General features: G+C 37.9%; 1 long non-coding RNA gene across 3 annotated transcripts in view; it reads left to right on the top strand.

The window, feature by feature from the left end:
• The window catches only part of LOC105373303 (uncharacterized), a 135,721-nt gene that overhangs the window by 10,147 nt on the left and 108,824 nt on the right, over positions 1-16,750 (top strand). The window contains exon 2 of one of the 3 annotated variants that reach the window (XR_007068300.1): positions 13,783-13,918. This is a non-coding gene — a long non-coding RNA (uncharacterized LOC105373303). Of the gene's footprint in view, positions 1-13,562; positions 13,919-16,750 lie in introns of those variants that run through there. The other 2 variants (XR_938493.3, XR_007068299.1) reach the window with 2 other exon arrangements.

The following is a 16,750-nucleotide window of genomic DNA, read 5'->3' as shown; positions in this document are numbered from 1 at the left end:
CTTTGGTTTCTCAGTTCTTTTTTGGCTAGGTTAGGACATAATAATATGCCAAAATCACAATACTTATACAATGGCTGACATTTATGCAAGATCTCACAATCATCTGCATGGAAGCTTGAGGCACTTGACCCTCATAGAGATTAGATTAGAGTGATTGACACTCTTCCAGCAGGGTTGTTCCATCCCTTATCTCCTTTCTTCTCTCCATCCAATCTAATTGGTTTTGTAACTCTGAAAATATTACTTAACAGAGACTGAGTCTCAACATCCTAATTTGTATAATGGGGTAATATTATTTACCTTACAGGGTAATGATGATAACTGATGAGACAAATGTATAAAATGTCTTTGGTAGAAACCATGAGTTGTTCCCCAATATTCTGTACTACCTTTATTTCTTAATAGTAAAATGATTAATTTTATCTTGGCCCATGGCCACCTGGAATAAAGACTTTATTTTTCTTGCTCTTTTGCATTTGGGTATGACCAGGCAATTAAGTTCTGACCAATGGATATCAGGTGGCAGAGGCAAGAAACTGGGGGGCAACTCCAAGCAAAGAACTGAATCCTGCCAACTGTTACGTGAGTAAGCTTGGAAGCAGACTGGTCCCCAGCCAAGCCTTCACATGAGACCACGGCCTCAGCCAACACCTTGAATGCAGCCTTGTGAGAGATTGTGAGACAGAAGATGCAGCTAAGCCATGCTCAGATTCCTGATGCACATAAAAGCTGCTTAATTTTAGAGTACTTTATTACACAGCAATAGGTAATACAGGGATAAATACGGCAGTGGAACATATGACTTTCTGAAAGTGTCCTTCAATAGAAAGGGTGTGCCCTTCTTCTGTTCCTTCCTCTTGATATATATATTAAGGCTATAATGGCTGGAACCCCAACAGCCATTTTGAACCACAGAGCAGAGCAACAGGTAAAAAGTAACCTGAGTTCCTGAGATTATTATGTACAATACCATCCTGGATCACCTACACCTACCTGTACAACTTTGGGTTTTTTGGTCACTTAAAGACAAGTCTAGTCCTATCTAACAATTGTGTCTAATATTACTGTTAACATCATATAAATATTTTTTAAAACACTAGCTTTCTTTCTACCCCAGCATCATGGAAGAATAAAAACTAATACAAAATATCTTGTGGCATACTCCTTGTATTTCAGGAATATGTAGTCTAATTTCAAAATGCTTTTAATGGTTTAGCTAAATTTTTCTCACTAAACTCCATCTCCAGCAGACTCTCCTTACTTAAATATATGCAATTCTCTAAAGAATGCTGAATTGTTTTTGGTGATGGGAAACATTTATTTTGTGATGGCAATGTTCACTCCTCCTTCTATCCATTGGTGAGAAAATTGAAGCTTTATACATTTTTTTCTTTTTAAGTAAGAAATTTACATATATAATAAGTTCTGGTTTTGTTACTGGCAAGTTGTATAAACTTGCCCAAGTTCTTTACTACCTTAGAGCCTCAGTCTGTCAATTGGCAAGAGAGGAATAATTATATTACCTTCCTCCTAGTGTAGGCTAAATGAGATAATACAACAAAAATATTTAACATAGAGCTCTACATAAGTAATTGCTCCATAAATGGTGACTGCAATTATATTTTTGAAATGTTATTATTAATACATTTATCTACAGCAAAAATATCATGTTGATTCTGGCCTTCTTTGGTTCTATTAATATGTTGGCTTTGAAGTTCTCTGGACATAATGCCTGAACCTGAAAAAAATTAGTTTTAAATTGAAATTCTCAGACACCAAGGCAGACTAAGAGGGTAGATAATTTTTTTTTGTCTGGGGTAGGGCCTTTCCAGGCATCCCTCACATTCTTCTCTATGCAGGGAGTGACCTTTATTCTTATATCTGTGGCAGGCTCAATAATGACAACAGTTGATTACCTTCCTTTTCTTGAATAACTTCACAGCTGAATACTCTCCCCACTTACTACAAATTTCTTCAGTCCTCCATTATGTGATTCTTAGCTGTTCAAGAAGCTCTTCCTTAAGTTTTGATTTGCATAAATGGACTCACAGAAAGACCTAGATACCTGGAAATTTTTTCGCTAGTTGACTGCTAGTATCATTTGCAGCTATACTAGGTATATATTAAGGACAAAATGTTGCCCAGACTTTGGTCTGTCCTGTGGATTTTATGCTGCTTTTTGCCAAGGGGGTCATCTGTTGGGATAATTAGTTTGGACAAATGCTTGCTGATCTAGTTTTCTGGAACTCAGGGCTACTCATATACTCCAGTCCCAGGTTCATATGAATTTTTCTATGCTGCTCACCCAGCTGCTTTGGTTTGCCAGAGACTGTTCAATACTAGAATTTTCATACAAAGCTCTGCTCTCTACCCCACCCAAGAAGCTTAGTTCCCTCAGGGATGCGATCAGAATTGAAATCACTGGAAAAATATTGTAGCTCTACTTGATAAAGAAATCCTGAGCTGGCCCCAGGGTTTAGCAAGCTCAGATATTCCATAAAAATGAGCTTTTGGGCTGGGCGCGGTGGCTCACGCCTGTAATCCCAGCACTTTGGGAGAACGAGACAGGCGGATCACGAGGTCAGGAGATGGAGACCCTCCTGGCTAACACGGTGAAACCTCGTCTCTACTAAAAATACAAAAAATTAGCTGGGCGTGGTGGCGGGTGCCTGTAGTCTCAGCTACTCTGGGGGCTGAGGCAGGAGAATGGCGTGAACCCGGGAGGCAGATCTTGCAGTGAGCCGAGATCGCGCCACTGCGCTCCAGCCTGGGCAGCAGAGCGAGATTCCGTCTAAAAAATAAAACGAAAAAAAAAAAAAAAAACAAAGCAAATAACATCTATAAGCTTTAATGTTAATGAAGAAATACATCTCTCATTGAAGAAAAATATGTTCTAACTTGTCATCATGAGAGTTTAGTGTTTTTTTTTTTTTCTACTAGTGTGGTTAGATCATCGAGCTGCACAATTTCACCACTTAGTCTCCTTGTGAACATTTGGGTTAAGGATACATATCTGTGTGTGTGTGTGTGTGTGTAGTGTGTCTGTGTGTGTATAAATAAATACATAGTTTTTTTAAAGGATTATATTTGTGACTTATTGATCATCCTAGTTTTAACCAAGTTGCTAACTGTCCATGGATTTTAAAGCTCTAGGAAGAGAAAAATCAATGTTTTCCAAGTTGATATGATAGCCCAGAAAAGTTGTCTTAAAGTAGATGTTCTCTATTGTATTGTGGAAAATTCTACCTTGTTCACAGACACTAGGATAATCAAAATTTTTAAAAACTAAAAATAACAAGTGTTGGCAAGGATATGAAGAATTTGGAATCTTCATACATTTCTAGTAAGAAAGTAAAATGGTGCAGCCACCGTGAAAGACAGTTTGACAATCCCTCAAAAAGTTGATCATAGAATTAACATATGACCCAGAAATTCCACTCCTAGGTATGTATCTAAAAGAATTGAAAACAAGTATTCAAACAAAACCTGTATATAAATGTGCATAGCAGCACTATTCACAATAGCCAAAATGTGGAAATAATCCACATGTCCATTAACTGATGAGTGGATAAACAAAATGTGCTATATTCATACAATGGAATACTACCCAGACATAAAAATAAATGGAATACTGACAGAAGCTACCACATTGTGACCCTCAAAATTGTTATGCAAATGAAATAAGCCAGTCATAAATGTCACATACTATATGACTCCATTTATATAAACTATCTAGAATAGGTAAACTCATGTAGACAGCAGATTGGTGGTTTCCAAAAGCCTGGGGAAGGAGGGAAGTAGGAGTAACTTCTTAATGGTTGCGTGGTTTTCTTTTGGGTGCTGAAAATATTTTGGAGCTAGATAAAAGTGTTGGTTGTAAAATGTTGCGAATGTACAAAATGCCACTGAGTTGTACACTTTAAAATTATTAATTTTATTTTATGTAAATTTCACCTCAAAAAATGTAAAAAATCTTATTGGTTTAGTAAGGAAGTCTCCTGGCTTCCTTAAAAGGTAGTAGGCAATCACTATTCATGCTGTTTTCATGGAAATCTGTGTTTCAGCCGTGAGGTTGACATTTTGCATTTCTGAGAAAAATTGGGTTTAGAGAGATAATATATAGAAAAAGACCTCTTTAAGGCATATATTTTTGAAAAGTAGTCTTGTCCATTTTTCAGCCCAATATCAAGTTAAAAGATTCCTTGAAGTTCATCTAGGTCAAACTACTCCCTTATGATAACTCTCTTGGGTATCACAGATCATGGCCATTGAAAATCAATGGGTCTAAGTGAAAGATTAAATTTTTTCCATTTAACTTGTTACATGTTATGCTCCAGTAACAATATCCCATTTGTAGTTCCTCAGACATGCATGTTATTTCATTTCTTGATCCGTTTTTATCTTCTGTCTACTTTGCTTGGAATGCCCTTCTTACTCTTGGCTATTTAGCAAACTTCCACTCCTCTTTCATATCCTAAGTCAGTGTCACCTCCTTAAGCTGACTTACTTCTTCCTTCCTCTGTTCTACCTGATATTTTATACATCTGTTTCTTAATGTGTTTAGAACAATTATAATTATAACTACATGCTTGCATGTCTATTTTCCCCACTAGACTTTGAGTTTTTGAAGAATAAGATCCATATCAATTTTACTCTTGGCTATGTTTCTAGAGCACAGAAAAGTGCAGAGCCTATAAGACGAACTGAGAAAAGTTTGTTGAGGCACTTAATTATACAAAAGACAGTATAATATTGACTTTCTTGGCATTAGGAGAATAATGAAAAGACCCTCGGAAACCCGGGGATATCTGAGGGTGATTTCAGCTACCATAGAATTATTTTTGAGAATTTTATCCACAAGGAATCCTGTCTCAAAGCCTCAGTCATTTATCTGTTCCCAAGATATAATGTCTCTGCTGTTTTGTTCCCAGCCTCTCCATTTGAGAAAGGTTCCTGATTATTTTTGCTGGCAAAAGTATTTCCTGTAGATGCTCTTAATGTAAAATACAGCATTCTGAGATCATGGGATCTACACTGAAGAATTTTTTTTTATTTTTACTTGTATCTGCTGCCATGGCTCAATTGTTCTGAAGACTTGGACACTTTTTTGTAACCTGATTTTCTCCAAAAAAGACAACTCCCTCATCCCTAGAGCCCTTGAAAGTCTCTAGAAGCTTTAGCAAGGCAGATGAGTCCGCCAACTTCAGCACTCTGCCAGTTTCCATCATGTACATGTTTTTAACCCTCAGGGTAGAGTGAATGCCTGGAGATATTCTTTCATAACATTTATTTGGCAAGAAAAATAGAAAAAAAATGATAGCAGCCAAGGGTCACAGTTTCTACATTCTGCAAGAATATCTTTAAGCATATTCTGCTTTTATTTTTGCAGAGTAAAAAGCACATAACTTTGTGACAACTCCTCACATTATCATTTTTTTGCTTTGTTACTGGTCTGGGGCTATCACAGCCATAATTCTAGACTGCTCACATTTTTTTCATTTAAAAGTGTTAAATTATATCCCCTACCTTCCTTTTTCCTAAGCATCCCTCTAACTACATTCAGTTTTCAAATTCTGTAAAGGAGATACTTTTAATTTGGGGACCACTTTTAATGGCACCCATAGATGGGCTTCTGAAGATACACAAACCCCTTCAGATTGTGAGCTGAGCAAAATTATGTACATTTTTATATGTGTGCATTTATTTCTGAAAAATAAGATCTATAAATTTTAGCAGTTCTCAAAGTAGTCCAAAAGTGTGTTCAAAAGTATTATGACATATAAACCTAAGCAGATATGCTTTAAGGGAACTCTTCAGATAATAAAGTAAGGGTCTGTGACTCAAAAAGAATTTTCCTCTTAAGAGGGATGTCTCTTTGTTTAGGGAGTGAGATCTTTGTTTAGGGAATGAGATTCTCATGAAGTGAGATTAGAACTTTCTGGAATGTAAAAATTGGTTTTGGGATTGAACCCTTATACCTTGATATTGAATCTCCTTATTCAAGCTGCTGAAACCTACAGACCACTAGCTGAGCTGTTGGAAGTCACATAAAAATCACCAGTTGTAGCTCCTAAACGAGAAACAGCAAAGGAACTGTTGCTGGACTTATAAATCTTTTTCAAATATTTGAGGTCCAGTTGTTATTTGTAGGTTGCCGGAGAAAATGTTCCAGCATATTAATATCTGTAAATTTATATGTGTAAACCTGTGTACATTTCTTTATCAATCTGCATTTATTCAGCACTCTAAGATGATTTACACCCTCCCAGTCACTGAAAATCCTGAGGACAGAGTGTTACACATACTCTCAATTATTTATGCATAAAAATATGAGGTTTGGCTATTGGACCCACTGACATAGCTAAACATTTTTGGCCTCCTCACAAGGTAAAGAGTGGAGATGTGGTGGTTTGTGGACTTACATTCCATAGTCTGCATTGGTCTGTGGGGGAAGTGAAGAGTGGGGATAAAAAGAGCTCCTTCAACTTCTCAAGGTTGACTGAGAACTAAATTCTCAGAAACAGGGTTTCATCCTTTGAGGCACAATATCAGAATTGGGATATTTTCAGGTTTTGTCAACTGGGAACTCTCATTTCTGCCCTTAAGTAATCTCCTTTCCCAATATTGTTCGCAATACATATGCTTGGTTTGGCTTAATGGGAGGAGGTTACATATGAAGTGCTTATGTTTCCCAGTTGGTATTCTTATATCTACATTCACCATTCACCTATACTTTATAGACTTTCTGCTCTTCTACATTTTATTTCTTGTCTAGCATTACTAAAAGCAGGGGCCATGACTTATACTTTGGAATCGTGCATATCTGGCACAATGCTCAATATATAATATATACTCAATATCTACTGATTATTTTAATTTTCATGTTAACTAGTGATTTCTGGCCTTTAGTGACTTCAAATAATATCTCTAACTCCTAGAGGTGGGGAGGTTGGATTTTCATTTAAAGGTATACAGCCAAAGAAAAGAGTTCATTGGTCAGATGTGGCTTTGGAGAGACAAATTTGGCCATTCTCTTCTTAGTGGTGGTCAACTAAGTTTGGATCTAGTTAGAGTGGACATGACTCTTGTTAGACTGGACAAGATTCTTGTTAGACCGGACAAAACTGGAAGCTTCCAGGACATACTTTTATTCACACAAGCATGACATACGACCCTTCTAATGGGTACATTAAGACACAGAAAAATAATGCAGTTTCCAAAATGGTTCCACGTGGTAAGTTCAGTGTTGTTTAATTCAAGTCCATTTGGGGGTGTGCAAGAAAGTTTTACATAAGGGTAAGTCAGATAAACTCTACTTATGACAAGCTCTTCTCTTCTAGGAGTTTATTTGCCATACATTAGAATGTAATCTCTATAGGGCATGTATTTGTATTTTTTTATTCACTTCAGTACCCCAATAACTAGAACAGTGCCTGGTAGAGAGGGTTCCCAGTAAAACTTTCCAAGTAGACACAATCAATGAATAAGAGCTTACTGAGCAGCAACCATGTGGTTAATAAAGTGGTAAGTTCTCTGAAGACACAAAGAAAACTTTTAAAATGGAGAAGTCATTATTATTCATAAGTTTAGAATCCACCTGACATGAAATGAACAGATAACAAAGCAATTGCACGCTAAAGTACCCAGACCAAGAATAGAAAGATTTAAGTTCTCTTTCTCACTTTGCTATTAATCAGCTGGGTTAGCTTGGAAAAGTCACTTTTTTTTTTTTTTTTTTTTGAGACGGAGTCTCGCTCTGTTGCCCAGGCCGGACTGCGGACTGCAGTGGCGCAATCTCGGCTCACTGCAAGCTCCGCTTCCCGGGTTCACGCCATTCTCCTGCCTCAGCCTCCCGAGTAGCTGGGACTACAGGCGCCCGCCACCGCGCCCGGCTAATTTTTTGTATTTTTAGTAGAGACGGGGTTTCACCTTGTTAGCCAGGATGGTCTCGATCTCCTGACCTCATGATCCACCCGCCTCGGCCTCCCAAAGTGCTGGGATTACAGGCGTGAGCCACCGCGCCCGGCCGGAAAAGTCACTTTTTTAGGAGCATTAATATTTTCTCATTTGGAAAACTGAGTAGACAAACTTAGATACTGAACATATGATAATTCTATGTTTACAAATGCAGAGGAACAATAAACACAGTGGGCTGTAATAGTAAAAGAATGTGACAGGTAAAAGATGGACCAGAACTTATACGTTTTAGAGAACTGGGCAAAATAAGGTTGCCTAAAAGGAGGAATTCAGGTAGCAGGAGGTACAAAAAGAAAAGAGATTTGGACCCAATGCAGTCAAATATAAAGTGTGTATGTGTGCATATAGTGCTTAGAACAGTGACTGGCCCACAATCAACTTGATATATGCCTAAGCTATGAAATGTGTATGGGGGAGGGGAGTGGGGAGAAAGGAGAGGAGGGAGAGGGGAGAGGAGGAGGGAGAGAAAGGAGAGAGGAGAGGAACAGATAGAAATAAAAGTCAAGTAGAAAGATGGGTCTGACAGTAGTGGTCAGGGTGAATTAGAAGACAAAACAGCTAGATAGATAATTTCAGTGATCTGAGCAGTCAGGAGCTACAATAATATATATGAATTGGAAATATTCTTACATATCAGTTATTTTAGCCTCACACTTAAACTCGAAATCCTTTCTGCATTCTTCCAGTCAGTCTCTGACGGTTTGCAGTGACAAAGTGTAGGTTTTTCAAGGCAGCATATTTGGTTTATGGGTAGTTTGTGTCCTTAGACAGAACTTTCTGATCCTGAGCCTAAATTTGCCTTCTTGGTGAGTTTCATTCATTATCCTGGTTCACCCCTTGGGGCCACACTGATTATGTCTAATTTTACTTTAACGTCACATTTTGGCTAAATTTTCTCTTTTTCAGGAAAAATATTTTCAATTCATTCAATCATTTATTCCATGGCATGATTTCAGATATTTCACCATCTGGACCATCTTCTTCTGAAATCTCTCTAGACTGGTAAAGTTCCTATTAGAATGTGGGTGCCTAGAAATGAACACAGCCTACCAGATGTGGTCTGACTAGTGCCAAGCTCCTCCCTTGAACTGGGCATTGTACTTGTATTGCTCTGTTCTAACACTGCATTTGCTTTCTAGGCAGCTACATCACACTGTTGACTCATTTCAACTTGTAATTGCCTTTAAACCAGAACTATATGATGGCTTGTTAACCTGGTAAACTTCCTCTTTATTATTTTGGCCTTTCAGATCTGATAAATTCTTTCTGAGTGGAAAATTCAGGGAGCTTGGCAGGTTGAAAAACTACTTATTTCTTTAAAATATATAGGGTTGCTATTATTTTGGGGGACAGGTGAGTGCTGAGGTACAGTCACAACTCACTAATAATTCTGAGAAGTTGGAGGGTCTATTTACTGAATTAGTGAAAAGTCTGAATCACATTCTAATTTGAAAGAGAATGTTCTTTAATATAAAAATATTAATTGGAATAAAGACTGTGATGATGTTTTCAAGGAAAAAACATGCTTGACCAGCTATGATGAATAGGCATGACGAGCAGCACCCTTCCTTGTATACATTTCGTGGTTAACATCCTTTAAAACTGTCTTTGTAATGCTCAATGTTGGGCATTAATTTGTTGAGCCAACTTTTTTTTCCTCTATACAGCAGAGAATACAAATAATAGCTGACACTTTCACAGCATCTACTATATATACAAGGCTCTCTTCTGAGCACTTTATGTACTTAATCTTCTTAATAATCCTATGAAGTAGATGCTACTGTTATCCTCATCTTCCTTATCCCTATTTTACCACTGAGAAAACTGAGACACTGAGAGCTTTAAGTAATTTACCCAAAGTGAAATAGACAGTAAAAATAAGTGCAGAATTTGAATTCAGGAAGTCTGGCTGTAGAGTTGGTGCTCAAAGCACCTCTCATATCCAAACACTCATCTTAGTCAGAATAGTAGAATTCAAAAATGTCTCCAACTTGCTTTAGCTAGCAGACCAAATTTAAGGGTGAGTTAAGCTCCCATATTACAGACTAATATATCTTCTCTCCTGCAAATGATGATGATTACGCAGGAAGAGATTTCACAATTGATTCTACTCCCTTTGCATATGTAGTGTATTTGGTTAAGGGTTTGGGACCTTGCAGATAGATCTATGTGACATAAAGATGTTTGAAAGGATTTAACATTTTATGAATTGGCAAGACATTGTCTGCCCTCCACCTGAAAAGGTAGATGGATGGACGAACACTTTAAGAATTGAGTCTGGCCAGGCCCGGTGGCTCCCACCTGAATTCCCAACACTTTGGGAGGCCAAGGCAGGCAGATTGCTTGAGCTCAGGAGATCGAGACCAGCCTGGGAAACATGGTGAAACCTTGTCTTTACAAAAAAGTATAGGCTAATGCAAAAAAATTAGCCTGGCATGAAGGCATGCACCTGTAGCCCCATCTACTCAGGTGGCTGAGGCTGGAGGATCGCTTGAGCCCAGGAGGTCGAGGCTGCAGTGAGCGAGCCATACTTTTCCCATTGCATGCTAGTCTTGGTGACAGAGGTCTGAACTTTTATTTCCTAAGAGGATATGACCTCAATTAAATGTACAAGGAGTTAAATCTGAAATAATACATGTAAATCTCTTTTTATGTTTATGAAATATTTGCTACCTGCAAACCAACACAGAAAGTTAACTATAGGAATACGCAAAATTATGTGAGCCATAATCTTGCCATTGCAATCTAGCCTTGGTGACAGAGGGAGACCCTGTCTAAAAAAAAAAAAAAAAAAAAATCCAGTCTATGATGAAGATGAAGATAGTGGAAAGAGTATGGAATCCTGGATTCTAGTTTCGGCTGTCACTAATATGACTTAATATTTCTGAGTCTCAGTTTCCCCACCTTTAAGAGGACTAGATGATCTTTCAGAGCCCTTCCAAATCTAACATTCCATGTTTTAAGAGAGTAAAGGAAACCAATGGTGAAGAAGGAGAGAAAAAGTTTAAAGAACTTTCATGGATGAAGAAATAAATTCAAGCCCTGGCTTTACCATTTTTAATTATCTTTCGATTGTGGCTGAAATTGAAAAGTAAAGAGGGAGATCAATGACCCTCATCCTCCACTACGTGGCTCAGAACTGGGTTTGTGCACATTAGAGGACAGGAAAAGAAAGAAAGAAAAAGAAATCTTTCAAACCGAGAAAGCTAATTTCATGTGAATTGGCATCAGTGCAAAATAAATTAGATGAATAGTTTACAGTATATCTCTCATAATAATCTGGCTTGTCTTGAAACATTGAGCTTTTTAAACAAATTTTACTGCCTGGCCTATGGCTTTGTGGTTCCATCGTGTTCAAGAAAAAAATGCTGACAACTTGTTTTCTGTTTCCACTGGCAGCATTACTGTTTTTAAATTGAAATGATAAATGGTTGGTTATGGTGCAATGGCTGAGCTTTGAATTCTATAGCGATATTCTATATTTCTCTTTAATGCACACACTTTTATTTCTAGGTAGATTTCCACTGTGTTAAGAAAATGCTCATCATGTCATAATTGTAATCAGCAACCTATTACATGAATTTTGGTCCTAATATTAAAAAAAAGATACATCCTAATTTAGGCTTCTCTTTATTACCTAGGAGCACTTTTGAGAAGACCAGAGGACTCTGAGTAGAAAATTCTTCTTTGTTTTTTTTCTACTTGGGGAAACCCAGGTGTGCTGAATATTTTCCTCATTTATTTTTATCCATGCCTTTTGAAGCATTTGAGAACAGTTGATTTGTATTTTCTCCACATACCCTTGCCAAAGACAGTGACAGAGACCTGGAAAGACTCACTTTGATCTGAAGGTAGTTTTGCTTGGCATGTGCTTGTGCAATTGAGTAATAGCTGATAATCAAAACCAACTCCCCAAACCTGAGCTTAGTTTTTGACGCTTTATTTGAGGCTTTGGGAAAAAGCCTAAACCTTTATATTTTTATCTGTCAAATGAGCTTATCCAGGTCCCAAAGAACACTATACTCAATGATTTTTAACCACTGTGGAAGATGGGGCAATCACAAACAGTTGCTATTTGTGTTAAAATGTTGCATATATTAACAAAATTATTCAGAGATGAAGCTTAATTAGGATGCCTACGACTCCTCTTGGTGCCTGCCTAACTTCTGCTCCTAACCTCAGCATATTCCTAACATTCCCCATGTGCCAAGTGTGTTTTTGAATTTTTGAATCCCTCCTACTTTCTGTTTCTATCTCCTTCTACCTTTATCAAGACATAACCACGAATTGCTTCATAATTGTAGGTTTCTGTACTCCATGTCACCATCTGGTATTTGATCAAGTCACTTGGTCTCTGGGCCTCAGGTTTCCTAAAGTAAAATGAAGGAATTGAAATAGATGGCCTTGAAGTTCCCATTCATTTCTAAAATTGCATGAGTTAATATCTACATTAATGTGTTATCTAGAAAATGTGCTTCCCTTCCTGATAGAGTAGTTTGGTGGAATCATAAAGGCTAGATTGTGGCAACTCCATGGGGACATCATGATTTAACCTAGTTAATATGATTTTAGTACACTGGTGATAGGCATTTTGGGGACTGCCTTCCTCATGAATTTTGATTTCCTTCAAAATGTGCTCCATAAAAGGCTACCGATTTTGTGTATTCCTATTATTAACTCTCTCTGTTGGTTTGCAGGTAGCAAATATTTCATAAACATAAAAAGAGATTTACATGTATTATTTCAGATTTAACTCCTTATACATTTAATTGAGGTCATATCCTCTTAGGAAATAAGCAATATTTCTGAGGAGTTTCTTTAGCAAACTTTCTTTTACTGTTGGTATCATCCCAGCCATACTTTCCCAGAGAATTCATTGTGAGCAACTCTTCCAAGATATTGTCTCACTCTAAAAGCAATCCCCTCTCACAAGCGCTACTCAAAGATCAGACGCTTCTTTAAATTAAAAAAAAAACTCCTCCTGAAATGCAGCTTATCTAGTGATATTATCAAAAAGCTTCCTAATCAACTTGTAGGCATTTTAAACTTCTATAACAAGAAACCAGTTTGATTTTACCCAGGTCAAGGAAAAAGAGAAACTATGGTGGGTTTTTTTTTCTTTTGGCTTCTCTTTCCTTTAAAACAAAGAACAAAATGACAAATCCAAATTTGAGACATCTGGATGTTTCCCATCATGTGGCTTAAACATCTGTATTTTTTCACTTCTCATCCAGATGTTTTGGTCTTATGTAAACCTAGCTAAAGTGAAGCAGAGTATCAAGCAATCATCTGGGGACTTTGATTAACATGGACAACAAATCTGAATAATCCATGTCCTGAGAGTCCTGGTTTTTGTCTAGCTCAGAACACATTACTAATGAGGTTAAAGTTACTGTAGGTTTGTTCCTTGAATGGGGGCAGTTAGTTGTGATCTGTTCCATGGCCACAAAATGCACCTCTAACCTCAGCCAGCTGTCTTGGAAAATGAGTGTCCTTGGTCATACAGGCAGTCATGCAAGAAACCTAACAACCAATCTCTACCAGTTGGAAAGTAAAATAAAATGTATTTCCTGTGGACAGTAGGTCAGCAGTGACATTTTTGTGTAAAATAATAATTGTAACAATAATTCTTACATAGCTCTTACTCTGTGCCAACAGTGTTCTAAGCACTTTTTACATACATTAACTTACAGTGTTCACACTCCTGTGTATTATTGGTATACACATTTTACAAATGAGGAAATGGAGGCACAGAAAGGCTATTTTGCCCCACATAAAAATAGATGACATTTTAATCTTTTCTAGGTATTTTGCCACTCTATCAAGAAAGTTAAGGACTCTCAAGCTTTTGGATGCTTAGAAAATACATCAGAGGAGGACAGAAACTCAGATATCTCTGCATCCTGAATTCATTGGTGGAATTGCTACTGTGCCCAGTAAAGTAGGTTAATCTAATCCCTATTCTTTGACCCGATATGATAATTACAGGCATAAATTACCTTTTGAAAAAAAAAAGGCAATGTTTTTATTGGCAATGTCAGCATATAAAGTATGTATTTAAGAAAAATCACTATGTGGTTAGGAGCAATGAACTATGTTGGGTGGCCTCAAGGAACTAAATTGTATAAATGCTCTGAAGAAGAATGATTTGTGTGACTGGCAGAATGCTTAGGAAACTTTTATCTCCAACCACAAATTGACTTAGAATCCTAAAATGCTAGACCTAGACAGGATGTAGATAGATAATCTAATACACTATTTTCTTTCTTTTTAAAATGTTGCAAACAATAAAAAAGTTGCTTGCTGAAAGAAGCAAATGGAAAAAATAAACTCTCATATTTTTTAAGGATTGTAGGAATTTAAACTTGACCGTGCTCCCAAATCCACTTGTCCATTTAATCCACAAATGAGATGTGAGCACCTACTCTGTGACCAGGACTATTACGGACACTTGGACTATAGTAAGGAGTAAGATGAGACCACTGGTCTTCAGCAACTCTTCAACTATTCTGGCATTTTCTATCTCAGAAAGTAAAGGGGGCTGGGCCGGTGGTGCAGACCTGTAATCCCAGCACTTTGGGAGTCCGAGGCTGACAGGATCACGAGGTCAAGAGTTCGAGAGCAGCCTCACCAACTTGGTGAAACCCCGTCTCTACTAAAAATACAAAAATTAGCCGGGCGTTGTGGCACGCGCCTGTAATCCCAGCTACTCAGGAGGCTGAGGCAGGAGAATCACTTGAACCCAGGAGGTGGAGGCTGCAGTGAGCTGAGATCACGCCACTGCACTCCAGCCTGTGCCACATGCCACAGAGTGAGACTCCGTTTCAAAAAAAAAAAAAAAAAGAAAGAAAAGAAAAGAAAGAAAGAAGACGTAAAGGCCCTCTTTCCTACAACTTTCCTGCCTAAATTGTGTTTCATCTTCTGGTGTTATGGAAAACAATTGCTCAGCATCTTAGTAACAGAGACTATGTTCATCAAATCCCACATCCTGCCTATTTCTCTCCCTCCTCAGATCTGCCTTTTTCTGAGTATCCAGGTCACCACCCTAGCTACATCATTTCTTACCTCACACCTGAACTATGATAACAGCATCTTAGCTGGTCTCCCTGTCTCCATTATCTCCCCTTATCTACTTTTTCCTGCATCTATTATCAGATGAATGCTTCACCACATTTCTCAGCCTTAGTTCTCTCTCTCTTTCTCTCAACAGGGTCTTGCTCTGTTGCACAGGCTGGAGTGCAGTGGCACGATCTCAGCTCACTGTAACCTCTGCCTCCCAAGCTCAAGTAATTCTCCCACTTCTGCCTCCTGGGTAGCTGAGACTACAAGCACACACCACCACTCCTGGCTAATTTTTGTATTTTTTTTGGTGGAGACAGGGTTTTGCCATGTTGCCCAGGCTGTTCGCAAACTCCTGGACTCAAGTGATCAGCCCACCTCGGCCTCCCAAAGTGTTGGGATTTCAGGCATGAGCCACTGCACCTGGCTCTTATTTCTTATTATGTCCTCACACAGAGTCTGCTCTTGCCAACCAAATGTGCTTGCTATCAGCTAAATAAGACCGTCTTATTCTTTGTTGAATCTTTCTTCTCATGTGCTATTCTCTGCACTTGAGAAATTCCTATTCTTCACCACTGTTGGATCTATTCCAAACTTTTATCTTGCTCCAGTCGGCACTGAATTGCCCCACCTCACTTATTAATTTTCCTACACTTAAATGTGTTTTATAAATACCCCCCACTTCCTTCATGTATATGATGTGTAAACTGCTTGAGCACAGGGACTTCAATTTTTTAAAGGATTTCTATTATACTTTATGCAGTGGCCAGTTCACAGTGGGCACTCAATAAATGCTGATTTACTTTAATACCATTTGGAGAAAATGTTGAGCAAACAGCAGTGAGCATTTGGAAAGACAAGTTAGATGAGTGTAGGTGACTTTACAAGTTCTGATCTCACAGTAATTAAATGGACTGCTGAATAAGCGTACATTTCCTGTGGCTGAATCCAGTTCTAAACCAAGACAAGTTTGATGTAAGAGTTTGAAGTGAATGATTATTGTTTATCAAACTACTCCATACATTCATCAGAAAGCCTTAATGCTCAACACTGTGATCTCCTATCAGACATAGCAGAACAAAAATGCATGAGTAATAGAGAAATTGAAGCCAGACCATTTTCAACATCAAATTCTGTCCTAGAAAAGAGCAACAACAATTGCAAGTGTTCAAACTTAACTGGTCACTATGGAACTATTTTCTGTCTTGAATCTGGTTTTATCAGCACACTACCTCAACTTGGGAAATGAATATCAGGAGTGTAAAGATTTATATGTGTAATTTTCAGGATATTTCCCTTGGCCATTACTCAATTTTCTAGAAAATACTTGGTAAAAACCAACCAATTTATTTAAAAACAAAATGTCAAATGGCAGTAAATGCTTTATAGCAGTGGTTTCATACTCCCGTAAGCCCTTCAAATATTACATGGGTCAAAGACTCTCCTTCTCTTTCCTGCAAGAATTTTTTTTCCTTCTCACACTTACCATTCTCCAACCTGTTGTGGAAGTTATCCCCAGGATACTACTCATTCCCATGTCCTCTTGGACACCTCTATAAACTTCTCTTTCATAACTGAACTCTGTTTCACCCTCTGATTGCACTGTTTCCTCCAATGCCCTACCATGTTAACCATCAATCCTCAGACAAAATATCAACCTCTCACATGATGCTATTTTTGGTTCAAGCCTTACCAGAAACCTGCAAATCTGTAC

The sequence above is a fragment of the Homo sapiens genome, chromosome X (assembly GCF_000001405.40).
Source record: "Homo sapiens chromosome X, GRCh38.p14 Primary Assembly".
Classification (NCBI taxonomy): domain Eukaryota; kingdom Metazoa; phylum Chordata; class Mammalia; order Primates; family Hominidae; genus Homo; species Homo sapiens.
The sequence above is the reverse complement of the archived record's forward strand: the minus strand, read 5'-3'. Positions and strand labels throughout refer to the sequence as shown.